This window comes from Homo sapiens, chromosome 3 (assembly GCF_000001405.40).
Source record: "Homo sapiens chromosome 3, GRCh38.p14 Primary Assembly".
Lineage (NCBI taxonomy): Eukaryota > Metazoa > Chordata > Mammalia > Primates > Hominidae > Homo > Homo sapiens.
In genome coordinates this window covers 52,254,397-52,282,119 of record NC_000003.12, presented here as the reverse complement: position 1 = coordinate 52,282,119, position 27,723 = coordinate 52,254,397, and the positions used below count along the sequence as shown (strand labels likewise).

Here is a 27,723-nt window from a genome sequence, read left to right as displayed (position 1 = left end):
GATACACACACACACTGTCACACTTACACACATGCAACTGTCCCAAAGAAGAGAGTCACCTGATTCTAGTTATTCCAAGGGTTGAGTAAGACGTTAGTCAATCTCTAGGGAAGCCCTGCTGCTGGGCACTGGAGCTCAGAAATTTATCTCAAAGAATTAGAATTCATAAGGAGCTCTGTGTTTTGGAAAGAGGACACATTGTTTAGGACAGTTTCCATTCCAATTGTGCAGCATGAAATAGAAAAATTTAATAAGTGGGCCAATCAAGTATCTGGAATCCTTTGGATAAATTCATTTATTCAATTAATCCATACTGAGCTCTGGCTGGGCTCTGGACAAAATGGGAAGCAAAATTACTTTACAGCCATATAATAGAATAGTTTGTAGCCATTCAAAATGATTGTATCGATATTTATTGACCTGGAATATGTTCATAGTATGGGTAAACTTACAAACAATATATTATGAACCCAATAAAAATATATTTCAGGGATTGGCTGGGTGTGGTGGCTCATGCCTGTAATCCCAGCACTTTGGGATGGTGAGGCAGGCAGATCACCTGAGGTCAGCAGTTCAAGACCAGCCAGGCCAACATGATAAAACCTCGTCTGTACTAAAAATACAAAATTAGCTGGGCGTGGTGGCGGGCATCTATAGGAGGCTGAGGCAGGAGAATCACTTGAACCCAGGACATGGAGGTTACAGTGAGCTGAGAGCACGCCACTGCACTCCAGTCTGGGTGACAGAGCAGGAAAAAAAAAAAAAAAAAAAAAAAAAAAATATATATATATATATATATGTATATGAAAAAATCGGAAAGGTTCTACATCAAAATGGTAAATTTCGTGTTATATATATTTCACTATAATAAAAGATTGTAACAGTGGCTATCTCTGGATGCTGTTTTTATTATTTGTATTTTTTAGTTTTTTTGCAATGAATATGTGACAAGTAAAAGAATGACTACAAATAAAAGGAAACATAAAAAATTAAGTCTGATGCTCTTTTAAAGCCCATCTGATTCACTCTTGACTGCAGCTTTCTCTCCATCCACCCATCCACTGGAGCCGGCTTTCTGTGTCACTTTTTAAAGTCCATTTTTTTTTTTTTTTTGAGACGGAGTCTTGCTCTAATGCCCAGTGCAGTGGTGTGATCTCGGCTCACTACAACCTCTGCCTCCCGGATTCAAGCGATTCTCCTGCCTCAGCCTCCCAAGTAGCTGGGATTACAGGTGCCCGCCACTGTGCCCAGCTAATTTTTGTATTTTTAATAGAGACAGGGTTTCACCATTTTGGCCAGGCTGGTTTTGAACTCCCGACCTTGTGATCTACCCACCTCGGCCTCCCAAAGTGCCACCGCACCTGGCCTAAAGTCCATCCTTTAAGGCAACCATACTGTTGGGCTGGAAGCCAGGAGAGCCCCACTATAATAGGGCAGGGAGCCAGGCTAGGAATTGGAAACAGTAAGAATGCGAAACAGGATGAGGATTTGAAGACCCTCTTAAAAATGGGGGAAAAAAAAAAAGACTGCATTCCAAAAATAATGCAGAAAGTCAAGTCTTGGGAGGAAGGTTTGGTCTTAACGGTGAAATCTGGAAAAGGTATAGGAAGTACAATACTTGAAAAATACCCTGCAAAGATTTATTTTGGCTGGCAACATTCAGTAGATTACAGCTGTTTCTGTGGTTATTTTTGTAGATTAACATGGACCAAAATATGGCATCATCTTACTGGGTGTGTTCACTTCCCGACAGTTCTAGAACATGGTACTCGATCTGTCCTTGTTGCCTTCTAAACTATTCGAAGCAGACGCTGTATCAGACTTTCTAGCTTCTGAAATAAAGGCACAGGAATTACAGGGAAGCAGAGCAAGTGATCTGGGACGTGGAGGGTTTTTCTTCCATTGTGTGCAGTTTGGAAAGTTGCCATCTATTCAGGTTTCACTCAAACCGGCTTTTTCCAGACCCCAGAACAAATTGTAGCCAGAAGCTCTGCTCTTTGTCAGGAGGCAATTATACCCCAGACTTAGCCAGGAACTTGCCTCTTCCCTTAGAGAACAACTTCTCTTTATGTATAAGGATCCTGGCTCTCCTTTTACCCAGGGGGTTGGGATACAGCCTCTAGTTCTTTCTAGAAAGACCCCAACTGTCCCAGGGTTTCCATTTTGTTTTTTACCATTGCACAGGTCTCTGGATAATAACCTTCCTAATAGCGACTGAAATGTCTCACAGCCTTTCCTCGTTTTTGTTTCTCTTTAGCTAAAGAAAGCAAAAATAAATAATCCCCATCTTCATTGTTGGAAACCCCAGGCAATTAACCTTTTGAGGAGCTTCACACAAGATACAGATCTGTGAAGCCACATAGGTTGGCATTGAGTTTAACCCCTTGCCCAGAAAGTTAAGGTTAGGAAGCTTGGTTCCTATTTTCTGTTCAAATACTGCTTTCCTTTGTTAGAGATAAACTTTCTTTTAAGGCAAATAATCACTTATATGATAGAACCTTTAAAATAATCCTGTTGACTACAAACAGGATAGTGCAACTCTTCCAAATCTTGAATGTGGTGGTGACTGCATGACTGTGTATGGGTGTCAGAACATAAAACTAGCCACTAAAAAGGCTAATTTTTGGGGGGAAACCGTCTGCTCTGTCGCCCAGCCTGGAATGCAGTGGCACGATTTCGGCGCACTGCAGCCTCCGCCTTTCTCAATTCTCGTGCCTCAGCCGCGCCATCATGCCCGGCTAATTTTTTGTATTTTAGTAGAGGTGGGGTTTTGTCATGTTGGCCAGGCTGGTCTCAACTCCTGAGCTCAAGCGATCATCCCGCCTCGGCCTCCCAAAGTGGTGGGTTTAAAGGCGTGAGCCACCGCGCCCGGCCTAAAAAGGCTGATTTTTACTGTACCTAAAGTCTACCTCGATTAAGAAAACGAGGCCGGGTGCGGGTGAGGTCAGGAGTTCGAGACCAGCCTGGCCAACATGGTGAACCCCCGTCTCTACCAAAAATACAAAATTAGCTGGGCGTGGTGGCGCGCGCCTGAGCGAGAGACTCCATCTCCAAAAAAAAAAAAAAAAGTAAAGAGGTCGAAGCTGTCTAAGCGGACGCTGCGGTGGACTAGCGGTCAAGCTTGCCTGCGAGCGGCTCACCTGAGTCACCCCCAAAACCGGCCTCCAGCAGCATACCCGACCCTGCAGTACCCCCTCCCACGCAGCCTGCGATCGGGACGCCTGCAGGAGGCGCCAGAGTCTTCGCGGGGGTTGCAATCCCGCGCAAGGGCCCCCGGCTCCCAAGGCATCCGCAACCTTCCGATCCCCCGGGAAGGCCCTGCACGTCTCGGCCGCTCCCTGCCAGCAGCCCGCCCCGCCACTACACTCCGCCGCGGCCGCGCTGACGTCACCACCCCGCCTCCCCGCCTTGCTCCGCCGTTCCCGCCCCGCCCCCTTTCCCGGCGTGCGCCGCGGCTGAGGCTCCTCGCCCTCAGCTTCTGCCTGTCGCCCCAAAATGGCGGACACAATGAGCCGGCGACGCGCCGGTTGTCCGTGAGGTGGCTGTGAGGACGAACGGTCGGCGAGGCTCCACAGTCCAGGCAGAAGACCCTCGACCAAGCAGGAAGAAGAGGAGGAGGCGGCCCAACTGTTGGCCGACTTCCCGCTAGCCGCCGGCGCGGCGCCCGCCCCGCCTGGGTTGGCCCCTCGGCAGCCCGCCCGCTCGCCGCCGGGCCCCGCCCCGGCCCTGCGCCGCCGCTGCCTTCCCCAGCCGCCGCCATGAAGCTGACCGACAGCGTGTTGCGGAGCTTCCGCGTCGCTAAGGTGTTCCGCGAAAACTCGGACAAGATTAACTGCTTCGATTTCAGCCCCAACGGCGAGACGGTCATCTCGAGTAGCGACGACGACTCCATCGTGCTCTATGACTGCCAGGAGGGCAAGTGAGTGCGGCGGAGGCCCTGGGCCCGAGTCTCAGTGCCTCCCTCCGGTGGCCCAGCACAGGTCCCTCGGCCTGCCCTCCGTCCCGACTTCAGCCCCCAGCCTATTTTGCACGCGTTCCTGCCAGGGCCGCCTCCACCCCGCAGCCGTCCAGGAGACCTTTTATTTTTTTCTTCTTAAAAAAAAAAGATAACGATAGTCATAATTTTATAATATTATTTGTATGTCTTCGGTCTCCTTTGAGCGCTATGCATCACTTGCCAAACCCCACCTTGACCTTGACCTTTAAACGCCCGGTCCGCCCACCCTGGGCCCACCAGGTAGCGTTTTCAGCTCCTCAGGCTGTCAAAGGTGCTGGTCTGCTCCGGCCTCGACGCAGGACTGCAGGGGCTGCTTTTCTGCCTCCTTCGGCAGCGTCAGCTCTCTCTTGTGCTCTCTCCACTGTGACCTCGATTCCGCCCTGGCACTCCGCCCATCCCCTGCCCCTCAGCTTCCCGCGGCCTTTCTGCCGTCAGACCGCGTGGGTTGCACTTCTTAGCTGTCAGGATTTATTTGTTGTGCCCCTTTGAGCCCCCTTGCTTTTTCTTCCTGCTCCTAGCCTTTCTCTTACTCATTCAGACTTGGTGCCCACGTTCATAAGTGAACTTTTCAGCAACATCTAAAACTTCCTTTTTGCCACACACAAACGAACTTGGTCGTCCCATCCTGACCTGAATGTGAGCTTCCGTTAAAACAAAGCAAGCATCGTAGAACAATTTCAGGTTTCCTTTCATACTTTTTTTTTTCTATTACACTTTTTGGTCCACTTTGAATTCCAATTCTGATCATGAAACTTTTATGTTGCCACAAGTCATCTGGAGACCCACCATACCTGCATCTTTTCGCAAAATCTAAGCACAGCACTTTGCCTTTTTCCCTGGGGGTCCTTGTCAGCCCTCCTCACCGCACGCCTGTGGACTTGCAGCTCCTTGGAGCCAAAAACTAGTTTAGATTAAATTCGTTTTACCCTTAGCCACCTTCCCCAAGAAGGCTTGCTGATGTTTGGTTTAATTCGGTGGACCCTGGTTTTTTCAGACTTGATTTTGTCACCTAGTAACAGATATTATTATTATTATTATTATTATTATTATTATTATTTGAGATCTTGGGTTTTTCTCCACCTTCTCCAGCTGTTCCTTTTTCCTTTTTTTTTTTTTAGACTGGTGTCCTTCTTTTGGAACATATCTCTTCATTTGTGAATTTGATTATCTGAAGTAATGCTAGTTTGGACTGAGCTATAATGGTATCCCCCCAGTTTTTTTCCCCACTGGGGCTGTGAGAAAGTATTATGTAACCGGCTCTGGATCTGCCTGCAGTTTGTGGCAGAGTGGTCTGCAGTGGTGGTCTTAAGGAAGAGGGAATTGTTAGCTGGACAAATAGTTATTTGAGTCAGTGTTACTCATTGAGTAGATGGATTTCTGTCCTGGTCTGGTCACTTGAATCAGTTTAGAAGACGAAGTAACATTTAAAGGTGTGGTAGTAGGGTCAGCATTGTGGGGTCCTGGAGGAGTAATTTGAAGCTGGCTTGCATGAAATGTATAGTGCTTATGCACAGATTAGAACCTCTTCCCAGAACCTGAGGGTGGAGATGTATATCCTCATTTAAAGGAAATGAAGGTTGTTATAGCATTTCTTTGCAGTTTGTCCCCAAATTTGGCGTAATTTTGATTTGGGAAGGATGACCTTGACATGAAGTCCTGTCTTTCTTTTTTTTGTTTTTTTTTTTCGGGTGGGGGACGGAGTCTCTCTCCGTCGCCCAGGCTGGAGTGTAGTGGCGCGATCTTGGCTCACTGCAACCTCTGCCTCCCGGGTTCAAGCGATTCTCCTGCCTCACCCTCACAAATAGCTGGGATTACAGGCGCCTGCCACCATACCCTAACTTTTGTATTTTTAGTAGAGATGGGGTTTCACCATGTTGACCAGACTGGTCTTGAACTCCTGACCTCAAGTGATCCACCCGCCTTGGCCTTCCAAAGTGCTAGGATTATAGGCATGAGCTGCTGTGCCTGGCCAAATCCTGTCTTGTTAAAAGTAAAATGCTAGTTTTGTGACATAAGGCAGTTTATTTACTCGTAGCATTTTTACATAATTAGAAACTAACAAAGTTACAGTGTTTCAAAGAACTCCCATATGATTCAATAACTGGTTACATTTTCTGCATTTGCTTCATGACTGTAGGTAAATATTTATATGTACTGTGTGCCTCCCCCCACCTTTAGAGTTGGAGGTATCAAGCCCCTTTATCCCTAAACACTTCAACATGGATTTTCTTTCTTTTTTGAGATGGAGTCTCGCTCAGTCGCCCAGGCTGGAGTGCAGTGGCGTGATCTTGGCTCACTGCAACCTCCGGCTCCTGGGTTCAAGCGATTCTCCTGCCTCAGCCTCCTGAGTAGCTGGGATTACAGGTGCATGCCACCATGCCTGGCTAATTTTTGTATCTTTAGTAGAGGCAGGGTTTCACCATGTTGGTCAGGCTGGTCTTGAACTCCTGATCTCGTGATCTACCCGCCTCAGCCTCCCAAAGTGCTGGGATTCCAGGCATGAGCCACTGCGCCCGGCTCAACGTGGATTTTCTAAGCACAAAGACATTCTTATGTAACCAGAGCACAGTTATCCAAATTAGGAAATTTAGTACTGATACAATACTACAGGGCATGCTCTTGAGTTTTCTCTGATCAATTAATTGTAACCTTGTTTCATTATCTGTGGTGAAGGAGTGGCCTGGTAGTTAGGAGGGAACTGGGTACTAGTTTGGCCTGTGACTAGGTATGTGACATTGGTCAGATTACTTCTTTGGGTATTAGACAACCTCTTTAGTTTCCATTCTAGGCAATAATATGATGAAAAATTTTGTCACTAGTATAGGTCAAACCGACCTCAGAAGAAAAGAAGTATTTCCTTGGGAAGGCATGGTATTGTATCTTTTATTTATTTATTTTTTTGATAGGGACTTTCGCTCTTGTTGCCCAGGCTGGAGTGCAGTGGCTCCATCTCGGCTCACTGCAACCTCCGCCTCCCGAGTTCAAGCGATTCTCCTGCCTCAGCCTCCTGAGTAGCTGGGATTACAGGCATGCGCCACCACACCTGGCTAATTTTGTATTTTTAGTAGATGCGGGATTTCTCCATGTTGGTCAGGCTGGTCTCGAATTCCCGACCTCAGGTGATCCGCCGCCTCGGCCTCCCAAAGTGCTGGGATTGCAGGCATGAGCCACTGCGCCCGGCCTTTCTTTTTGTTTGTTTGTTTGTTTTGTTTTGTTTTGTTTTTGAGACTGCCTCACTCTTTCCTAGGCTGGAGTGCAGTGGCGTAATCTTGGCTCACTGCTGCAACCTCGCTGCTGGATTCAAGCGATTCTCGTGCCTCAGCCTCCCGAGTAGCTGGGATTACAGGCACCCATCAGTGTGCCTGCTAATTTTTGTATTTTTAGTAGAAATGGGGTTTCACAATGTTGGCCATGTTGGTCTCAACATCTTACCTCAAGTGATCTGCCCACCTCGGTCTCCTCGGCCTCCCAGAGTGCTGGGATTACATATGTGAGCCTCCGCACCCGGCCCTGTTTTTTTGTTTTGTTTTGTTTTGTTTTTTTGTTTGTTTGTTGTTAAGACAAAGGTCTTCCCCTGTTGCTCAGGCTGGAGTGCAATAGCATGCTTATAGTTCACTAAAGCCTTCATCTTCTGGGCTCAAGTGATCTTCCCACCTCAATCTCCAAAGTAGTTGGGCCTACAAGCACTCGCCAACTTACTTGGCTATTTTTATTTTTAGTGGAGACAAGTTCTCACCAGGTTGCCCAGGCTGGTCTCAAACTCCTGAACTCAAGCGATCCTCTCACCTAGGCCTCCCAAAGTGCTGGGATTACAGGTGTTAGCTACTGTGACCGGCCGAAGGCATAGTATCTTTATTAGATGACCCTAGTGTTAGAATTTGGGAGTTTGAAAATGGCTAAAGCAAGATTTTGTGTGCTTAGTATTTTCCAGTTTACTGGTCATTTAAATTTTCTTTACAATGGAGTTCGCCCATTGAGTGATATTTCAATTTGGAAGAGTATAAAGGATATTGTTTGTGGTAGGTGAAGCAAATTACTCAAAGTGAAAGGTTAATATTATTTTCCTTGTTGATGCTTGATCACCAGAATTATAGTTTGAGGAAGGAAGCTTACCAAAATATTTGAAAAATGTTGTGCATGTATTTTGTAAGACCCACATGGATGCAGTACAGTATAATCTTGCTTTCAAGTTAGGAAATGAGTCCAGGTGTGGTGGCTCACACTTGTAATCCCAGCACTTTGGGAGGCCGAGGCGGGTGGATCGCCTGGGTCAGGAGTTCAAAACCAGCCTGGACAATGTGGTGAAACCTTGTCTATACAGAAAAATACAAAAATTAGCTGAGCCTGGTGGCAGGGGCCTGTAATCCCAGCTACTCAGGAGGCTGAGGCAGGGAGAATTGCTTGAACCGGGGACGCAGAGGTTGCAGTGAGCCGAGATCGTGCCTCTGCACTCCAGCCAGGGTAACAGAGCGAGAATGTCTCAAAAACATAAAAATAATAAAAATCAAATTGGGAAATGAAATGAGGCAGTAGATTTCTGTTATCAGGAAAAAAAATCTCAGGTTAGTGTTTTTGATAAATTTGAGACAAATAGACCAGATCTAAGTGGAACCAGAAATTTTCCTTACACTATTCTCTTTCAACTTGTCAAGTTAGAGTTGGCTCTTCATGTTCTGTCTTTTTTTTTTTTTAAGACGGAGTTTCGCTCTTGTTGCCCAGGTCGGAGTACAATGGCGCGATCTTGGCTCAATGCAACCTCCATGTCCCGGGTTCCAGTGATTCTCCTACCTCAGCCTCCCAAGTAACTGGGATTACAGGTGCCCACCACCACACCTGGCTAATTTTTTTAATTTTTAGTAGAGATGGGATTTCACCCTGTTAGCCAGGCTGGTCTCAGACTCCTGACCTCAGGTGATCCACCCACCTTGGCTTCCCAAAGCCTGAGATTACAGGCGTGAGCCACTGCGCCCGGCCAGTTTCTGTCTTTGCTATTGTAGATGGGATGAAATAACTGATATAAACTTCTTCCACTGGTAGCAGAGTCAACTATGTAGAGAGTAAGTATACAGCCACACACTGAGACTGCCTCACTGGTTACCACACAGTAACCCCACATCAGAACCCCAGACAGTGCACTTGGCAAAGTAGCCTTTGCTGATCTTTTTAGGAGTGAAGTGTTATTTCAGTAAAGGTAAGAATGTGGAAAATCCAGTGTATTTGTAGTGAGAAGTCTGTTGGAAATGGGTTTCATGTAGGGAAGCCCTTGGCCTCACTTTAACAAAAATTGAAAGTGCAAATAACTGACTTCTTAAAGACTGCTTGAGTCGTGATTGTTTAGTACCTAGATTCTGAGAGGATTTTACATTGAGAGGATTAGCTTTCCTTTTCATAAATTGGAACTCTTGGTTAACATTAGTACAGGATTTATGAAATCTTTCTAAAGAACTAAATGTAGGACATTATGTTAAAGGCTTTCCTGTTTTTTCAGTTGATCGTATTGGAGAGTTATTTTAGCATTTGAATCTAGATTTACATAGATATTTAAGTCTCAAATTTTTATTTTTCTTTTTTTTTTTTTTGAGATGGAGTCTTGCTCTGTTGCCCAGGCTAGAGTGCAGTGGCGCGATCTCAGCTCACTACAATCTCTGCCTCCCAGGCTTAAGTGATTCTCGTGCCTCAGCCTCCTGAGTAGCTGGGACTACAGGCGTGGGCCACCACACCCAGCTAATTTTTGTATCTTTAGTAGAGATAGCGTTTCGCCATGTTGGCCAGGCTGGTCTCAAACTCCTGACCTCAGGCAATCCACCCTCCTCGGCCTCCCAAAGTGCTGAGATTACAGGCGTGAGCCACCACGCCCAGCCTAAAATTTTTCTAACTTAACCAGTATGTGTTAGAGTTTTTGGTTAAAGGTTCTGTTGAGACCAGTTTTAGCCTTGCTCTTCAAGGTTCTGTAAAGGGAGACATTTAAGGAACTTCAACAAATGGAGATTGATAACCTCTAGCTTGGAAATGTGTGATTTTTTGTCTGTTATTGAGGTGGAGTCTCACTCTGTCGCAGAGGCTGTATTGCAGTGGCACGATCTTGGCTTACTGCAACCTCTGCCTCCTGGGTTCAAGGAATTCTCCTGCCTCAGCCTCTTGAGTAGCTGGAATTACAAGTGTGTGCCACCACACCCGGCTAATTTTTGTATTTTTAGTAGAGACGGGGTTTCACCATGTTGGGCTGCTCTCGAACTTCTGACTACAGGTGATTTGCCTGGCTCGGCCTCCCAAAGTGCTGTGATGACTGATGTGAGCCACCACCTTGTGGCCAGAAATGTGTGATTTTGCTTTAAAGTAAAAGCAAAGGAACTATTTAACTGGTTTTGCTAGAGAAAGTTAGGCTTGCCTTCTAAAAGGCTCAGCAAGCGCTTTTGACCTGTAGGATAGGAAGGATGGATGTCTTCTGCAAGAGCAGGTTACATTAGCAAAGGCAAGCAGTTTTGCATCTGGTTTCAGTTTTGAGGAATCACTGCCGTCTTGAAAAAAAAAAACACAGAGCTTCTTTCTAAATGGATGTCTTGAGAAGAAAAGTTTGGCCTCTTGGGTTTGACATATTCTCATATCCCTCTTTGTTGTAAGTTAAGACTTGTTTTGTGTGCCTTTCTTCCCAAGTAGATGTACAGCCATGCATCACTTAGATGGGGATCATCACGTGAGTTTTTGTTGCAGCAGCATCATAGAGTGTACTTACACAAACCTGACGGTATAATCTGCACACACCTAGGCTGTTTGGTATGGCCCATTGCTCCTAGGCTACAAACCTGTACAGCATTTTACAGTACTGAATACTGTAGGCAATTATAATATAGCGTTAAGTGTTTGTGTATCTAAACATAGAAAAGGTGCCGTAAAACAGTTTAAGGGATTTAAAAAATGAAACATCGGTTGTAGAGGGCAGCTCTATTATAATCTTATGAGACCATTACCCTATGTGCTGTCTGTTGTTGATAAAAATGTCATCACATGGCACATGATTGTATTTTTTCTCAAAGCTTTTGAACATTGTAGTAAAGACTGAATTGAATCCCCAGATTTACTTTTACTTCCCACCTAACCTTGCCACTAGGTGTTCTAAGGTGGAAAGCTTCTTCAGATGGCTGTTGCTTGAGCGTTGTTTTTTCCCTTTTGGAAGAAGTTGTTTCTTTCCAGTGTTAGAACTTACCAAAAATCCTCACCTTTGCCACATCATTCAAGTGCTTCTCTTTATGTGGAGATCCCAGATTTTGATGATGGAGAATGTTCATGATTTTCTGTCTCTATTTTCTTATCAGACCAAAGAGAACCCTGTACAGTAAGAAATATGGTGTGGACCTCATCAGATACACTCATGCAGCAAACACAGTTGTTTACAGCTCTAACAAAATAGACGGTAAGCAAGCCTTTTTAGGAAGTTAAGGTCATGGTTTCCTTTGTTAAATAGTTCATGGAATCTTTGTGACTACTTCTGCTTTGTGACTACTTTAGTTTAAGTATTTTCATATAATGTTAGTAATGTTAATTGCATTGTTTTGACTGAAGGAATGCTGGAAGCAAGCCATTGGCACTTTTGAAGGACTTGGGACTGAGTATGAAAAGTCTTCAATTCAGAGTGGGGAGTGGAAAAAGGAAACAACTAATTGTGTTTATGATTTGTACTTCCTGACACTTAAAAGAACGCTTTTAAAGCCGGGCGTAGGGGCTCGCGCCTATAATCCCAACCTTTGGGAGGCTGAGGTGGGCGGATCACTGAGGTCAGGAGTTCAAGACCAGCCTGGCCGATATGGTGAAACCTTGTCTCTACTAAAAATACAGAAGTTAGCTGGGCACAGTGGTGCACGCCTATAATCCCAGCTACACAGGAGGCTGAGGCAGGAGAATCTCTTGAACCCGGGAGGCAGAGGTTGTGGTGAGCCAAGATCACGCCATTGCACTCCAGCCTGGGCGACAGAGTGAGACTCCATCTCCAAAAAGAACACTTTTAGAACAAATAAAAGGAAAGAACACTTGATACACAGCAAGTGATAAACAACAGGACTTTTTCTTTTAAAATGATAGAGATTTGAGAAAAGTTTCACAAATGCTTGAACTATGATAGTTTAAGGGAAGTTAGAACAGTTTTGGTGTTTTCCCAACCTTAGTCACTTCTGATTCCAGGAACGTTTTTTGATCTAAAGAGTAGAGTTACTTTTAGAAATTGAACTTGTGAGTTTCTTTCTATAATAAACAATCTCTGTTTTTGCCTGCATGTCTCGAGATAAATCCTAAGTTAACAGATTGTCTTGGTAACTGAACTGTAACACTTATTTTCATGTTAGAATTCTTTAATTTTTTAATTTTGTTTATTTTCTTTTGTTTGTCTGTTTTTATTTTTTGAGACAGAGTCTCACTCTGTTGCCTAGGCTGGAGTGCAGTGGCGCGATCTCAGCTCGCTGCAACCTCCGCCTCCCGGGTTCAAGTAATTCTCCTGCCTCAGCCTCCCAGGTAGCTGGGACTACAGGTGCATGCCACCATGCCTGGCTAATTTTTTGTATTTTTAGTAGAGACAGGGTTTCACCATGTTAGCCAGGATGGGTCTTGATCTCCTGACCTTGTAAGCCACCGTGCCCGGCCTATTCTTTATTCTTTTGAGACAGAGTCCTGCTCTTGTTGCCCAGGCTGGAGTGCAATGGTGCAATCTCGGCTCACTGCAATCTCAGCCTCCTGGGTTCAAGCGATGCTCTTGCCTCAGCCTCCCAAGTAGCTGGTATTACAGGTGCCCACCAACACGCCCGGCTAATTTTTGTATTTTTAGTAGAGTTGGGACTTCACCATGTTAGTCAGGCTGGTCTCGAACTCCTGACCTCAAGTGATCTGCCTGCCTCATCCTCCCAAAGTGCTGGGATTACAGGTGTGAACCACCACGCCCGGCCAGGATTCTGTTTTTAAACTTATTTCAGTGGATTATTGATGATCATCTCACATTTTGCAGTAAGGTTTTTTTTAGGCCGGTGGCTACATAGTGGCTCATGCCTGTAATCCCAGCACTTAGGGAGGCCTAGGAGAGTGGATCACTTGAGCACAGAAGTTCGAGATTAGCCTGGGCAACTTGGGAAAACCCCGTCTCTACAAAAAATACAAAAATTAGCCAGGTGTGATGGGACGCGCCTGTAGTCCCAGCCACTTGTAAGGCTGAGGTGGGAGGATTGCTTGAGCCCTGGAGGTCTAGGGTGATCACACCACTGCACTCCAACCTGGGTGACAGAGCGAGGCTCCATCTCAAAAAAACAAAAAAGATTTTTCTAATGTCATTCCACAAGGATAGCTTATACTGCTATTTTGGCTGTGCCTATCTCAGAGCAGAATGGGCGGAAGTCCTTTTTTCCATTTTTTTTTTTTTTTAATGAGACTCTTCTGCCTGTATTGATTTTTAGTTAAGTATGTCATTTCTACTTTTCATGCCTGTATTTCAGAAGTGGTTTTCTAAGGAAGCAGTGTAGTTAATGATTTTGGAAAAGAATGTAAAACCTTAGGATCCTGAGGAAACATGTCTATGTGATCATCCGAATGACTGGTTTATTTCTTCTGTTGGGATGTTTTTCTGAGTGATTAAATGAGGATTCTCCAAATGTGGTGCAAGATGAGGCAAATGTGTGGCACTTGTAGCTTTGCTGCCAAGCCTCTGCTGTGAGGATGTTCCCTTTCCTGTCTCAAGTGCATCCTGAAGAGTTCCTCCAGCGCTCCGTTTCCTTTTGCCTGATTCCAGGCTGAGGTAGTAGTTTGTACAGTTTGAGGGTCTATGATACCACCCGGTACAGGAGATAACTGTACAGGCCACTGCCTTGCCAGGAACAGCGCGCCAGCTGCCAAGTGGGGCTGAGAGGATGGCGTCACCCTGCTCATCTCTGGGAAACCAGGTAATGGGGAGGAAGTCTTTTTCTTCTTAGGGCAGGTGAGTCATTGTTAGCAGTAGAATAACTAGAAATACTTCGTAGTTGTCATTCAAGAAGTTTGAAGATGTTTTCAAGGAAAATTGTGTAGTGTTCAAGTTATGGAATATACAAATATCCCTATTCCCCTATTCCCCCTCCCAAGTTAAATGCCCTCTTATTAGAAAGCACCCCTGTGAACCCCTGGGATGACTCGATGCTTTCAACCCCTTTATTCCTATGTTCTGTTTGCCTTCAGAATGTTCTTTCTATGGTTTTCTTTCTGCATTTTGGTACCATTTTCCCTTAGCTGTTTCTCAACAATTTTTCCTTATTCCTAGTCTTTTTAAGGGGATAATACTTTTCTATTTTGCAGTTTTATTCTTTATGGCACTTCATTTCTCTACCGCCACCATGTTTTTTGTTTGTTTACTCTTTCAGATAGAATCATTTGGTTAAGAGTGTCTTATTTTTCCACAAGCACAAATCTCTGATTGTTCCTTTCTTTAATATTGTCAAAATCTCACTGCTATTACTCATTGGTATAAGAATTTGATTTTTTTAATGTCTTAAGATCTTTTTAACCCAGATCTTGACATCACTTCTCTGACGTTTTGTTTATTTTCATTGTAATTTGTGTGTCCAATTGAAGAATGTTCAAATGAGTTGAGGGTGGGTCAACATACTGATGGAGAACTCTAGACAAAAATTGCTGCCAGGGTTCAACCTGATCTTCAGTTTAACTGCCATGGCTGCTCACCTCTTTAAGTCTGTTAGCTCAACAGCCACATATTTTTCTTTAAGGTTTGCCATTCTGTGGACACTAGACCAGTATCTAAAATTATTATGTGTGCTTTACTTGTTTTTGTTTTTTGACCAGGGTATATTTGCAGGGTGGGAGTTGCATTGTAATTATGAAGAAACCAAATTGGTAATAAAAGGTCATTTCAAACATTGCTTTCTATGCTGTCAACTTAAGAACTCTGCTTTTGAGTTAGGTGAAATCTACATACCCACTCTTCAGCTGCAGAGTAGAATTATTCACCATTATTTATTCATGCCTTGCTTGGGATATAGAATACAATGGATTATTTGACCTTGTCTTTTTAAGATGAAAATGTAAAGTAAATTTCTTTTAAATAGTATGATATCATCATACCTTGTTTGTCTTTTTACAGATACTATTCGTTACTTGTCCTTGCATGACAACAAATACATCAGATACTTTCCTGGACATAGCAAAAGGTAAGACCCACGTATTATAGAAGCAGATAGTTCTTTTATCCCTGAGGTTACCCAGAGAATAGAAGGCTAGAGAGAGCTTATTAGTGAACTGAAGCTACTTCCTCACTACTGCTTGGCATTCTTCATCTTCTCTTAAATAGTCAACTCTTGATTTACTGAGGTTATAGAGGTGCAGAGGTAGGTGTTCAGAGATACCTCAGTTAAAATATAACTAGGCCCAGTGCAGTGGCTCACACCTGTAATCCCAGCACTTTGGGAGGCCGCGGCGGGCGGATCACTTGAGGCCGGGAGTTTGAAACCAGCCAGGCCAACGTGTCAAAACCCCATCTCTACTAAAAATACAAAAATTAGCCAGGTATGGTGGTGGACACCTGCAATCCCAGCTACTCGGGAGGCTGAGGCAGGAGAATCGCTTGAACCCAGGAGGCAGAGGTTGCAATGAGCCGAGATCGCGCCACTGCACTCCAGCTTGGGCGACAGAGTGAGACTCCGTCTCAAAGATATATATGTATATATATTTTTTCTAGTTATAGGTATATCTATTTCTAGTTAGATATATATATTTCTAGTTTTATATATACATATAAAACTAGAAAAAATGTGGATTAAAGATATTCAGTGAAAACTTATGTAGTAAAAATTAGATTTGGCATTTAGGAATACCAAATCTCACATATCCCTTAATAAAGGACTGTTTGTGTTTATGAGGCCTTCCAATATATGTGGCCCCCATTTCAGTGGGCCCCTATGTAAAAATGTTCCATTTAAAGATCTTAATGAGAATGCAAAAGAAAGTCCTTTTTTTAAAATCAAGAAGTTTATCTCCTTTTTCTGTATTGTAATGCAGGTTGCTTCTCTCTGTTCTTCACCCCAATGCCCCTAGTTACTTTTTTCTCTAATTTTTCAACTTTTCTTTGAATGTTAAACACGTTTTCCCCTGGATAATATTTTAATCACTTGGGGTATTTTTTCCTGCATCCATTTGCAAATGTACAGTAACCCAGGATGGTTTCGATTGGTATGGAGCCCTGACAGGAGATGGCCTGAGAGCCTCCTGTTAGAAATTGCACTTCCAGGCCAGGCGTGGTGGCTTAATGCCTGTAATCCCAGCTCTTTGGAAGGCTGAGGAGGACAGATTGCTTGAGTGCAGGAGTTCAAAACCAGGCTAGGCAACATGGTGAAACCCTGTCTCTACAAAAAATACAAAAATTAGCCAGGAGTGGTGGTGTGCGCCTGTAATTCCTACTACTTCGGAGGCTCAGGCACGAGAATTGCTTGAACCCGCGAGACAGAGGCTGCATTGAGCCAAGGTGGCGCCACTGCACTCCATCCAGCCTGGGTGACAGAGCAAGACCCTGTCTCAAAAAAAAAAAAAAAAAAAAAAAGTTGCACTTCCAGTTGGGCAGGCCATTTGTGTTGCTGAAATAAAGGTGAAATAAGGTGGCAACCAGTGGTAACTGGTTTCAGACAAAGGATGGCTCATGATAAGTAGATGTTTTGCTTGTTTTTATTCAAATTAATGTTCACAAATGTACTATTTGTAATTAAGAGTTGATGCAGTTGTTTGACGTGCTTTCCAGTCTTCCCAATTATTCAACCTCTTGACCTCCTGATTCTTTTTTTTTTTTTTTTTTTTTTTTTTTTTTTTTTTTGAGACAGAGTCTCGCTCTGTCGCCCAGGCTGGAGTGCAGTGGTGCAATGTTGGCTCACTGCAGGCTCCGCCTCTTGGGTTCACGCCATTCTCCTGCCTCAGCCTCCTGAGTAGCTGGGACCACAGGCACCCGCCACCAAGCCCCGCTAGTTTTTTGTATTTTTAGTAGAGATGGGGTTTTACCGTGTTACCCAGGATGGTCCCTGATCCGCCCGCCTCAGCCTCCCAAAGTGCTGGGATTACAGACGTGAGCCACCGCACCCGGCTGGCCGACCTCCTGATTCTTGATAGATGACTTTGTCCCTCCTTTTATGAGAAAATCAAGGCTATACAAAATGAGTTATTTCAGCTGGGTGTGGTGGTTAAGGCCTGTTATCAGCACTTTGGGAGGCTGAGGTGAGAGGATCGCTTGAGTCTGGGAGGTTGAGGCTGCAGTGAGCCATGATTGTGCCACTGTACTCCAGCCTGGGTGACAAAGCAAGACCGTGTCTCCAAAAAAAAGAGTTCTTTTAAACATCTATCCCTTCCACCTAAATTCTGTCTTCCTTGGAATCCTTTCCTTGAGAAAGCTGTTGTCTTTCTTTCACAAAACAGACCTTCCTCTTTCTGCTTGCTTCCATCTCCTTAATTGGCCTTTCCTTTGTTGCCTACAAATTTACTTGGTCTTTCTTATCTTAAATCTACTTATTGACCCTATCACCCACTCCTTTTCACTATCAAACTTGAAAGAAGAATCTGTACATTCCCATCTCCACCTCCTCACACATGTTCACTGTTGAAATCATTTTTGCACTAGTCCCAGAATCGTCTATGGGGCTTTATCCAAACCTTTATCCTTCATTCCCTGCTGCCTCTAGTTAAAAAGCCACTGGTTTGGGCTTTTCTTGGTGCTTAACCTCTCAGTAAAACTTACTTTCCCGTGGCAGGTGACTTTTCCCATGTCGGTTCTGTTCTTGTAGTTTTCAGCCTCTGTTTTGACTCTAAAATAAACAAATATTTTATCCGCTTTCTTATCTCCATCGCTGATTTCATTTACCTCCATTCAGGTGGCTTCCCAAATCAGTATTTTTAGCTCATGTCTATTATCAGTTTCAGACCCGCCTTCCACCTACAGGTTTTGTTTGTTTTTTTGTTTTTTGAGATGGAGGCTCACCGGGTCACCCAGGCTGGAGTGCAATGGCATGATCTTGGCTCACTGCAACCTCCACCTCCTGAGTTCAAACGATTCTCCTGCCTCAGCCTCCCGAATAGCTGGGATTACAGGCACGCACCATCATGCCCGGCTAATTTTTGTGTTTTTATAGAGACAGGGTTTCACCATGTTGGCCAGGCCGCTGTCAAACTCCTGACCTCAGGTGATCCATCCGCCTCAGCCTCCCAAAGTGCTGGGATTACAGGCATGAGCCACTGCACCCAGCACCACCTACATGTTTTATACACATCTTTGTAGCTGTCTCTTCTGTCCAATACTCTTTCTAATACTCAGGTCCAGTACTCTGTCCATCATTGTTACCTTTTTTGGGCCAGCTTCTCTCTGTCTTCCTCATATTTATTCATCTCTGTCTCTTCCAATTCTGGCTCAAAGCATCTGTTGTTAGTTCACTCTTTTTCCCCTGCCATCATATTCAGTGAGTTGTTAAACTATTTAGTTCTCCCTAGGTTTAACCTCATGTGTCACTTTCCTCTGTGTTCTCTCCTTTGCTTCTGCCCTGGCTCATGCCCTGTGAGGTAAATTATTGTTAGCTCCTAATTAATCTTCCCATCTCTTACCATCCTGTTTCAGCTTCCTGGATTGCAGTTTGATTGCTTCACAATCTCTCTTAATGGTTCTCTATATTTTCATTGCTCCTTCCCCTTGTAGTCAGGTTCTGTCCCTTCTGGCTCTGACCCATTTTCTCAGCATTTTCTCCCACCATTCCCATTAAGGTGAACTCTGGGCTACTTCTTTGAAATCCTTTCTACCTCAGATGTTGTATCTTTCCAGAAGCCTTCTCTGGTCCTCTTGGAGTCATGTGGACTGGACAGTTAAAATTCCTTACGGTCGGGGTCTTACTTCTCCATGTGTTCCCTGTACTTCTCAGCATAGAGTCTTGTGCTGAGCTCTTGGGCTGAATGCCATGGCATAAAATTACATGTCCACAACGTGTTCTGCTCATTCTGATTTTTGTTTTTTGAGACGGTGCCTTGCTCTGTTTCCCAGGCTGGAATGCAGTGGTGTGATCTTGGCTCACTGCAGCCTCCATCTCTGGGGTTCAAGCGATTCTTCCGCCTCAGCCTCTTGAGTAGCTGGGATTACAGGTGTACGCCACCAGGCCTGGCTAATTTTTGTATTTTTATTAGTGGTGGGATTTCACCATGTTGGCCAAGCTGGTCTCAAACTCCTGACCTCAGGTGATCGCCCACCTGGGCCTCCCAAAGTGCTGGGATTACAGGCATGAGCCACCGCACCTGGCCTGCTCATTGTGTTTTATTACCTCCTCAGCATTCTCAGGAAATTTTGGCTTTTAACAATACCTTTTAAAATTTTAACTTGAGGAGCTGGTGCAGATGTTAGTTGAGTTACATTGGAAGAAAATGTTTTTCAGTGAGTGTCTCTTGATGGTATAACCACAAAAGGGAACCAAAAAAGGAATACAGTTGCTGTTAGCATAGGCTTGTGGTTCTCTAGGTGTGGTGCCCAAAACAGCAGCCTCACCCATCACCTGGGGGCTAGTTAGAAACTCAGATTCACAGACCCCAAGTCAGGCCTACTGGATTAGAGGCTCTGGGAGCAGATCCTAGCAGTCTGTTTTAACCCACCCTCCAGGTGATGCTGATGCCACTTAGGTTTGAGAATATCTGTGTAGTCCTCACACATCTTGATAAGGAATCATGCTTTTTTGTGTTTTTTTAATTGAGATACAGTCTACATACTGTAAATGATTCCTTTAAAAATGTACAGTTCAGTGGTTTTTACTATATTTGCAAAGTTGGACAACTATCACCATCATCTAACTTCAGAACATTTTTATCACTCCAAAGAGAAACTCTGTACCCATTAGTAATCACTCCCTCAGCCCCTACCAACTGCTGATCTACTTCTGTCTTTATAGATTTGCCTATTCTAGACATTTTGTGTAAATGGATCAGTTCATATCTGATCTTTTGTGCCTGGCTTCTTTTACTTAGCATGGTGTTCCCAAGGTTCCTCCATGTTGTCACATGAGGCAGTACTTTATTACTTTTTATTGCCAAATAATGTTCCAGTGTATAGATACAGCACATTTTGTTTGTCCATCCATTAGTTAATGGACCATTTGGGTTATTTCTACTTTTTGGCTGTTATGAATAGTGCAGATCTGAACATATGTGTACATTTTTGTGTGGACATATATTTTCAGTTATCTTGGGTAAATACCTAGGAGTGGAGTTTCTGGGTCACGTGGTAACTTTTTTTGGAAAAACTTTTCCAAAGCAACTGTACCATTTTTACATTTCCATTAGCAATGTATGAGGGTTCCAATTTCTCTGCATCCTCACCAACACTTGTTATCTCTCTTATTATAGCTATGCTAGAGGGTGTGGAGTAGTATTTCATTGTGGTTTTGATTTGCATTGGAATCATATATTTTTATTTTGTAGCTTTAAATTTTTTTTTTTATACTAGTTGCCTTTGTTTGTTCCAGATATGGTTGTGGTATGTGTGTTTTATTGTGTTTCTTAAAATGGCAATTTTGGGAGAACAGGTATATATATGTATAGATAGGCAGAGTGGTTTAGAATTCACATCCAATTTTTGCTAATATTTCGCATCAACTCCTATTTATCTCGATGTATTGCAGGGTGGTGGCCTTGTCCATGTCACCTGTGGATGACACTTTCATTTCTGGGTCTCTTGATAAGACCATTCGACTCTGGGATCTCCGGTCTCCTAACTGCCAGGTAATGGTACCTCACAGTTATACTTTTTGAGCATTTTCTTTGGTAGGCACTGTAATGAACTCTACCTCTCAAAGAAGGGAGAAAACAGTGGTTCCATTCTGGGATCACAGGGTCTTTTTAAACTTTGGAGAAAATCTGTTTTTTTAGTTGGTAGCTGCTAAGCACATACCCTAATCTAGTGCAGATTGCATTGTACTCTGTGGCTTAATTGTTGTGGGTTTTTTGTTGTTTTGTTTTGTTTTTGTTTTTGTTTTGAGACAGGGTTTCGCTCTTGTTGCCCAGGCTGGAGTGCAATGGTGCAATCTCAGCTCACCGCAACCTCCACCTCCAGGGTTCAAGCGATTCTTCTGCCTCAGCCTCCCAAGTAGCTGGGATTACAGTCATGCACCACCATGTCTGGCTAATTTTGTATTTTTAGTAGAGACGGGGTTTCTCCATGTTGGTCAGGCTAGTCTCCTGACCTCAGGTGATCCTCCTACCTTGGCCTCCCAAAGTTCTGGGATTATAGGCGTGAGCCACTGCGCCCAGCTGGCTTAATGTTTTTAAAAGTGTTCCTAGAGCTTTTAGCTTCAAGGGATTTATTTTTATTTGAATTCTGTGTCTGTAATATTGTGCAGTTAGAGTTGATCAGAAATTGTTGTCTGGAGACCTGTTTTTTAAAAGCTTCATTTTAGTTTTATGTTTTTTTTGTGTGTGTTCTGTAGGTAGGCTGATATTTGTTTGTATGCCTTTCTTAGTTTTAATTGGGAAAAGTAAATTATATAGTGGTAAGGTCCTGGATTCATTTTTTTTTCCCCATTGTACCAGCAGTCTTTGGTTATTCCACGTATGGTTGTGGCATGTGTGTTTTAGTGTATTTCTTATTTCTTTTCTCTTAGGGCCTCATGCATCTGCAGGGGAAGCCAGTTTGTTCTTTTGATCCAGAAGGGTTAATTTTCGCTGCAGGTGTCAACTCTGAAATGGTCAAGCTTTATGACCTTCGTTCTTTTGATAAGGTAAATCTTTGAATCTTTGAGATCTTTGAGCTGTTTTTTGTTTTGTTTTGTTTTTGAGACAGAGTTTTGCTCTTATTGCCCAGGCTGGAGTGCAGTGGTGTAATCTCAGCTCACTGCAACCTCTGCCTCCCAGGTTCAAGTGATTCTCCTGCCTCAGCCTCCCAAGTAGCTGGGATTACACGTGTCCGCCACCACGCCTGGCTAATTTTTTGTATTTAGTAGAGATGGGTTTCACCATGTTGGTCAGGCTGGTCTCAAACTCCTCACCTCTGGTGATCCACCCACCTCGGCCTCCCAAAGTGCTGGGATTACAGGCGTGAGCCACCGCGCCCGGCCCTGTAAGAGCCTTTTCTACAAAAGGAAAAATGTGGTAGATATTAGAGAGTGGCAGAGAAGTAGCTCATTCTCTGCTTTCCTTAGTCAAAAAGTAATCTAAAGGAATAGGATGGGAATTGGCTCTAGCAGAAGAAATTATTAATATGCCTGGGGCTACTGTTTTTTATCTTTTGCAGGGGCCATTTGCTACCTTTAAGATGCAGTATGATCGAACTTGTGAGTGGACAGGACTTAAATTCAGCAATGATGGCAAGCTCATCCTCATTTCCACCAACGGCAGCTTCATTCGTCTGATTGATGCATTCAAAGGAGTGGTGATGCACACATTTGGGGTGAGCTGACAGCCTTCAAGCATGGCTGTTTCCATGCTCATACTTCCTATGCTAAGAATTATGTTAGCTGGTTGGTGGAGACCAACAGTTACTCTTGACTTACTCATGAAGGCATGCACTTGTATTTTCTTCCTGCTCATGAACTTACCTCTCTTGGATTTCGTAGATGTTCATTTCTCACCAAGTGACCCAAGTTTGGTATTTAGATATAAAATAATTTCCTAACAATAAAGTTTTCTTGCCCCCTTGAGTATGCCTTGAATACAGAGTTGAGGGTGGGAGTGGATTGTCAACGATGGCAACCACATTTGGAAGCTTGGTGGTGTAGTACATGACAAGGAAAGGGTTTCATGGAAAGGAAGGTGATGCATGTGCTGAGTCAGTGTTTGTAGGCAGCTGTTTTTATTAATGGCTCTGTAAGAACAAAAGAACTGCTCTGTTTTGTTTTAGGGTTATGCCAACAGCAAAGCTGTCACACTGGAGGCTTCATTTACTCCAGACTCTCAGTTTATTATGATTGGTGAGTTTCCTTTTATCCCCTGTGGGGGTTATTTCTCTGGTACTATGCATTTCTTTGTTTAAATTATTAACTGAGACATTATTATCTATTTGATAGATGTTCTTAGATTTCTGTATAGCACATTATGCCAAGGACATAGTGTCTTTTAACTGCCCTGACTGGACCAAAATTTGAGTTAAACTCCACAAGCACTACCTTATTAGTAATGCTAATGTCCTGGTGTAACCCTACATTCAGTCATCTTAGTGGCTGCCTGTTGGTAGGGTAATGGTATTCGGCCCCTTTTTTAGATGAGAAAACTGAAGTTAGAACGGAAGTGACATGCCTGTGAACAAATAGCTAGGGTCAAGATAAATTTCCAAAGTGTCCTTCCTTCACTGCCTCTCCTCCCTCTCAATTTTGCCTGAGGGATGGGTCCTAAAGCTTGGCGTATCCTCAGATCTCAATCCATGTCTCATTTCCAGTTGTCTTTGTATTGCGCCTTGAGCTGTTACATTTTCCGTGAATATCCTCTTTAGGTTCAGAGGATGGCAAGATCCATGTCTGGAATGGAGAGAGCGGTATAAAAGTAGCTGTGTTGGATGGTAAACACACAGGCCCGATTACCTGTTTGCAATTCAACCCCAAGTTCATGACTTTTGCCAGTGCGTGTTCCAACATGGTATGTGAACAGTAAGAGGTATCTGCTACTCAGGGACCCTTCCCAGTTGGGGTGGTGGGTGCCTCAACAAGCACAGCAAGCTGTGTTCTACATAGGTACATTACAAGCATCCAAGTACATGTTTCTCAACTGGTGGTTTCCCTATTTCATCTCCTATTATTTGATCTCTGGCTGGGCTGGTCTTGCCTTTCATTTTTATTCTTCCTAGAGGTGATCAGGAATCATCTTTGAGTTCCAAGGAGATCATAGGCCAGTTTTTGCTCTGGACCCTAATTTTAGGTCCAAACTACCTGGGCTATGCTTGGCAATTTTTTTGCTCCTTAAAATACTCTGAACCGGCCTTTTGTGGTTTCAGTTTTCCATTCCTGTTGGTTTACGCCAAATTCCCAGAAATTTCTACAGTTGGTCATAACTCACCACTTAGAATTAACTCCAGGCCCTTATCTCTTCCTAGATAATACTAACAGAACAAAGGATCAGTGAGTCTCAGCTCCAGTTTTCCCTTGTGATCTCCTAAACCTGCCTGGGTATTCGGGGATGAGACATTTCATTACTAGCCTACCCGGAGCACATTGCCACCTTGCTTTTTTTTTTTAACCAAGAAAAAAATGTTAGAAAAAATACAGCAAAACCATCCAGTTCCTTACTTTTTACAGCCCAGGAAGGTGGGGGCCTGTTGGAGGTAACCTGGTGGATTAGCAATGAGGACAGGTTACTTATTCACCCACCTCCCAGGCAGCACTCCTTTTTTTCCCTTCCTTTAAAAAAAAGGGGGCGGGGGGTCTGCTTTGGTGGAAGGTGGACAGTGATTATTGGAGAAAAACAGAACCATTTTACTTTCACATAGAGGAAAGAGTGTTTCTGTCTCCTTAGAGCATCGGGGTTGGTTGGTTAGGAGAGAGGGCTACCAGAGCCACTGGGGTTGGGCACATTTTTGCTGTGGGGTGGGATGTGAAGAACCGTTGGCAGTGAGGAGATGCTTGGCTTTTTAAAGTTGATTTATGTTCTCCTTCTAGGCCTTTTGGTTGCCCACCATTGATGACTGACCCTGTTGCTGCTTGGCTATTTCTGTATAGTGAGGGCGGCCAGCAGGAAGAAACTCAGAGGGAACTGAGATAATAGTGGGATTGGATCATTTGACTGGGCTGGAGAACATCCTTTTACATGGCCTTCCCATGGATGTGCTGTACATCTGCTCAAAAGAAAATAATTACTTTGATGAGCGTCTTCAAAAGGACTCTTGGTGCAACAGACTCAATTGGAACTCAGCTTTTCTAACTGTCACTGCACCAAGCTCTGCTGGAGGAGTGACCAGACTCACGATTTGGTATAGTGGGGCTCTCAAGCATCTTCAATTTGAATGTACATGCTGCTGAGGAGCCGGTGAAGTCATCAGTTCCGCACATCCCTTCTACCCTCCAACTGCATGGGAAGCCAAAGTCCTGGTTTTGAAATGCTTGGGCAGCTCAGCCGCTTGCCCTCACCCTGCATGTCTTGTTACTGGGTCTCCCTGTGTACTTGTGGCATTATCCACAACCATCATGTTTCTTAGGTGCCAAACATTTACAGAAACATTTTCATATATCTTGGGGTCAGAGAAAGGGACAGATACAGAAGGACCTTGCTTGCAGGAAGCCATGCAGTTAGTTTCTGCAGTTAGTCGTGTGAGGCTAGGTGGTTGGGCAGGCCTCGGGCTGTAGGTGTTGGGTGGGAAAAAGACCCAAGGGCCTGAAAGGGAGGGAAAGGGGAGGGTAGCGGGAGGGTAGCAGGTGAGTTCCTAGGGCTGGAAGGTTTAGCAGCAGCCTGGTGCAGTGCCCTGTCATCAAGACAAACCCACGGTCCTCCTGGGTGCCTACCAAGCTTGGTTTGTACAAAAGCAAGGTGGGAGTCTATTTTTGTACATGAGATACATCACACTTACCTGTGGGCCAGTATTGTGAAGTGAGTCTGAGTTGTTTACACTGATGCCTTCCCTGCCCACCACAAATTGTGTACATAGTCTTCAGATGATACCACCCCTTTCCCCAGCTCCCAACCAAGAGCTGGTTCTAGGCCTGTGTTATATGTCATATTTAGCGTTTTTATATATGACCTTTGATTTCTGTTGTTTGTATTTTAGCACAGTGTATGCACCTTCATTTAAATACATCTGTGTGCATACAGATACGCATATATGTGTGTGCGTATGCATATATCTCTCATCTGTAGTTTCCAAGAGTTCAGCTGAAGCAGATGGAGTCCTGCAGCCCAGGAGACACCCTGCATCCCTGCTAATAGTGTTTGCCACAAGTATTAGTGAGTCTTCCTTATTAATATTTTCATTTCAGAAGACTGAAGCAAAGCTGATAGTGTTTGCTGTTTCTTTGGCAGCTAAGTGAGGGTCTTGGGATGACTTGCTGTGTTCCTCAAGCTGCACTTTGGGGCCATCTCTGCAGTATTAGCCCCCTTTTTGCTTGGTGGTACTCTGTCTGTGCCTGTGTGTGTGTGTGATAGTCACTCTTGCATGGCTTCCATGTCTGGTTTGTGGCATTTGGGGATAAGGTGCTGAAGCCAGAGCATTTGCAGTTTGTTTGAGGCCTCGTTGCCAATGATAGATCACTCCTGTTGACCTGGTATGTCTGCTTGCTTGCTGCTTTTCCTTGCTTTCTCTTGGAAGAGGAAAGGACTCTGGTCAGGCCCAGGCTGAGTGAGATGAGCTGCAGCTGGCTCATGGCCTTCTTAGAGCAGAGAGAGGAGTATGTCATTTTACTAAGTTCCTAAACAAACATTTATGCAGGCAACACTCCTTGCAGATCCAGAAACTGAGGCACAATAGGGTTATGACTTGCTCAAGAATATGTAGCTGCTAGGGGGTAAATCAAGGCATCACAATTTCTGTTCAGCGGGCAGGAATAGGCTGTGAATTGCTAGCACTTTTTTTTTTTAAGCAATTACTTTTTGACTTGTTCCTCTGAAAGTGCAAGAGGCGTACACCTTTCCCAAATGTAGACTAGAATCTGCAGGATGCCACCCACTGTATAGTTCTGCTTTCCCAGAGAGGAAGAACTTTTAGAAACCAAATGATCTTAATTGTTATTGCCCACCCCTGGCTTTTCCGGGTAGAAAATTCACAGTAGGAATGATTGTTAAGAGAGAGTGCTTGGAACCATGGGTTAACAGGAAAGGCTACCTAACTTCACATATCTGCAACCAGAGCAGCCACCAAGCATTACTTAGCAGCAGGAAAATGATTGTATTTGAGTTCCTGTGTGTCCAAAACTGAGCACCATGTTCTTTGAAAACATGCCACCTCAAGGCTGGGCGCGGTGGCTCACACCTGTAATCCCAGCACTTTGGGAGGCCGAGGCGGGCGGATCACCGGAGGTCGGGAGTTTGAGACCAGCCTGACCAACATGGAGAAACCCCATCTCTACTAAAAATACAAAATTAGCCGGGCGTGGTGGCATGCGCCTATAATCTCAGCTACTTGGGAGGCTGAGGCAGGAGAATTGCTTGAACCCAGGAGGCGGAGGTTGCGGTGAGTTGAGATCGTGCCATTGCACTCCGGCCTGGGCAACAACAGCAAAACTCCGTCTCAAAAAAAAAAAAAAAAAAATGCCACCTCACAGTCTCTATCGTTGGGCCCTGTGGTTGCAAAGCTGCCTCCTGAATTAAGAAGGAAAGGGAAAAGATATAGCTGGAAGCGAGTGGAAGAGATGCTGAGGGCTGGGGCTGCACAGACGTGCTCAGCAGGGCTACAGGTGCTCAAGCCCTATTGGGGATGGGTGGGGAGTGGGGCAGCGGCGTTTGCCACCTTAAGAATTGGGGCCAAAGCCACTGATGTTTATTTGACAGTGACACTGCACTGGGTACTTAAAGAAATTATTTCCCGTTGTAATTATAATTACTGCTTATTAAGGAAAATATGGGAATTTTAGAAAGAATCAAGTTTGCCACCCAAATGCTACCACTGTTAATCTTTTGGTGTTAAATGTTCCCCCTAGACATTTCTGTGCATAGATTTTTGGTGTGTTTACATAGTCGTTATTCTGTATATACAATTTTATGTCCCTTTTGTACTTAACGTATAAACATTTTTTCCATGTTACAGTCTTAAACAGAATTTTATGGCTGCAGCCTCTTCGATTTGAGTTTCTGTA

The 27,723-nt window shown here is 44.2% G+C and overlaps 1 protein-coding gene and 1 non-coding gene across 3 annotated transcripts, besides 8 other annotated features; both read left to right on the top strand.

Moving 5' to 3' along the window:
* Window positions 2,848–3,479: an enhancer, noted in NCBI's record as "H3K27ac-H3K4me1 hESC enhancer chr3:52312657-52313288 (GRCh37/hg19 assembly coordinates)". NCBI's record gives its function as "activates a minimal SCP1, AML or CMV promoter by ChIP-STARR-seq in naive H9 embryonic stem cells {active_cell/tissue: H9 hESC(naive)}" and the evidence as "EXISTENCE:reporter gene assay evidence [ECO:0000049][PMID:30033119]".
* Window positions 2,848–3,498: a biological region, named in NCBI's record as "H3K27ac-H3K4me1 hESC enhancer GRCh37_chr3:52312657-52313288".
* Window positions 3,209–3,498: a silencer, noted in NCBI's record as "silent region_14438". NCBI's record gives its function as "represses an Ori minimal core promoter by ATAC-STARR-seq in GM12878 lymphoblastoid cells {active_cell/tissue: GM12878}" and the evidence as "EXISTENCE:reporter gene assay evidence [ECO:0000049][PMID:35858748]".
* On the top strand, window positions 3,471–27,686 carry WDR82 (WD repeat domain 82). 2 transcript variants are annotated; one of them, NM_025222.4, is made up of 9 exons: window positions 3,471–3,919; window positions 11,311–11,408; window positions 15,102–15,168; window positions 20,641–20,740; window positions 21,619–21,735; window positions 22,248–22,403; window positions 22,854–22,923; window positions 23,442–23,584; window positions 24,601–27,686. In NM_025222.4, exons 1-9 carry the CDS (start codon window positions 3,759–3,761, stop codon window positions 24,628–24,630), a joined length of 942 nt encoding a protein of 313 aa, NP_079498.2. In that variant the 5' UTR covers window positions 3,471–3,758; the 3' UTR covers window positions 24,631–27,686. The 2 variants fall into 2 exon arrangements, with proteins under 2 accessions (NP_079498.2, XP_011532438.1); XM_011534136.3 differs by lacking the exon at window positions 11,311–11,408.
* Window positions 3,679–3,758: a silencer, noted in NCBI's record as "silent region_14437". NCBI's record gives its function as "represses an Ori minimal core promoter by ATAC-STARR-seq in GM12878 lymphoblastoid cells {active_cell/tissue: GM12878}" and the evidence as "EXISTENCE:reporter gene assay evidence [ECO:0000049][PMID:35858748]".
* Window positions 3,949–4,048: an enhancer, noted in NCBI's record as "active region_19937". NCBI's record gives its function as "activates an Ori minimal core promoter by ATAC-STARR-seq in GM12878 lymphoblastoid cells {active_cell/tissue: GM12878}" and the evidence as "EXISTENCE:reporter gene assay evidence [ECO:0000049][PMID:35858748]".
* Window positions 4,112–4,744: an enhancer, noted in NCBI's record as "H3K27ac hESC enhancer chr3:52311392-52312024 (GRCh37/hg19 assembly coordinates)". NCBI's record gives its function as "activates a minimal SCP1, AML or CMV promoter by ChIP-STARR-seq in primed H9 embryonic stem cells {active_cell/tissue: H9 hESC(primed)}" and the evidence as "EXISTENCE:reporter gene assay evidence [ECO:0000049][PMID:30033119]".
* Window positions 4,459–4,538: an enhancer, noted in NCBI's record as "active region_19936". NCBI's record gives its function as "activates an Ori minimal core promoter by ATAC-STARR-seq in GM12878 lymphoblastoid cells {active_cell/tissue: GM12878}" and the evidence as "EXISTENCE:reporter gene assay evidence [ECO:0000049][PMID:35858748]".
* Window positions 4,559–4,608: an enhancer, noted in NCBI's record as "active region_19935". NCBI's record gives its function as "activates an Ori minimal core promoter by ATAC-STARR-seq in GM12878 lymphoblastoid cells {active_cell/tissue: GM12878}" and the evidence as "EXISTENCE:reporter gene assay evidence [ECO:0000049][PMID:35858748]".
* MIRLET7G (microRNA let-7g) lies at window positions 13,759–13,842 on the top strand. The gene has a single exon (NR_029660.1). It is a non-coding gene; the product is annotated as a microRNA let-7g (primary transcript).
* Window positions 27,687–27,723: the final 37 nt, after the last annotated feature.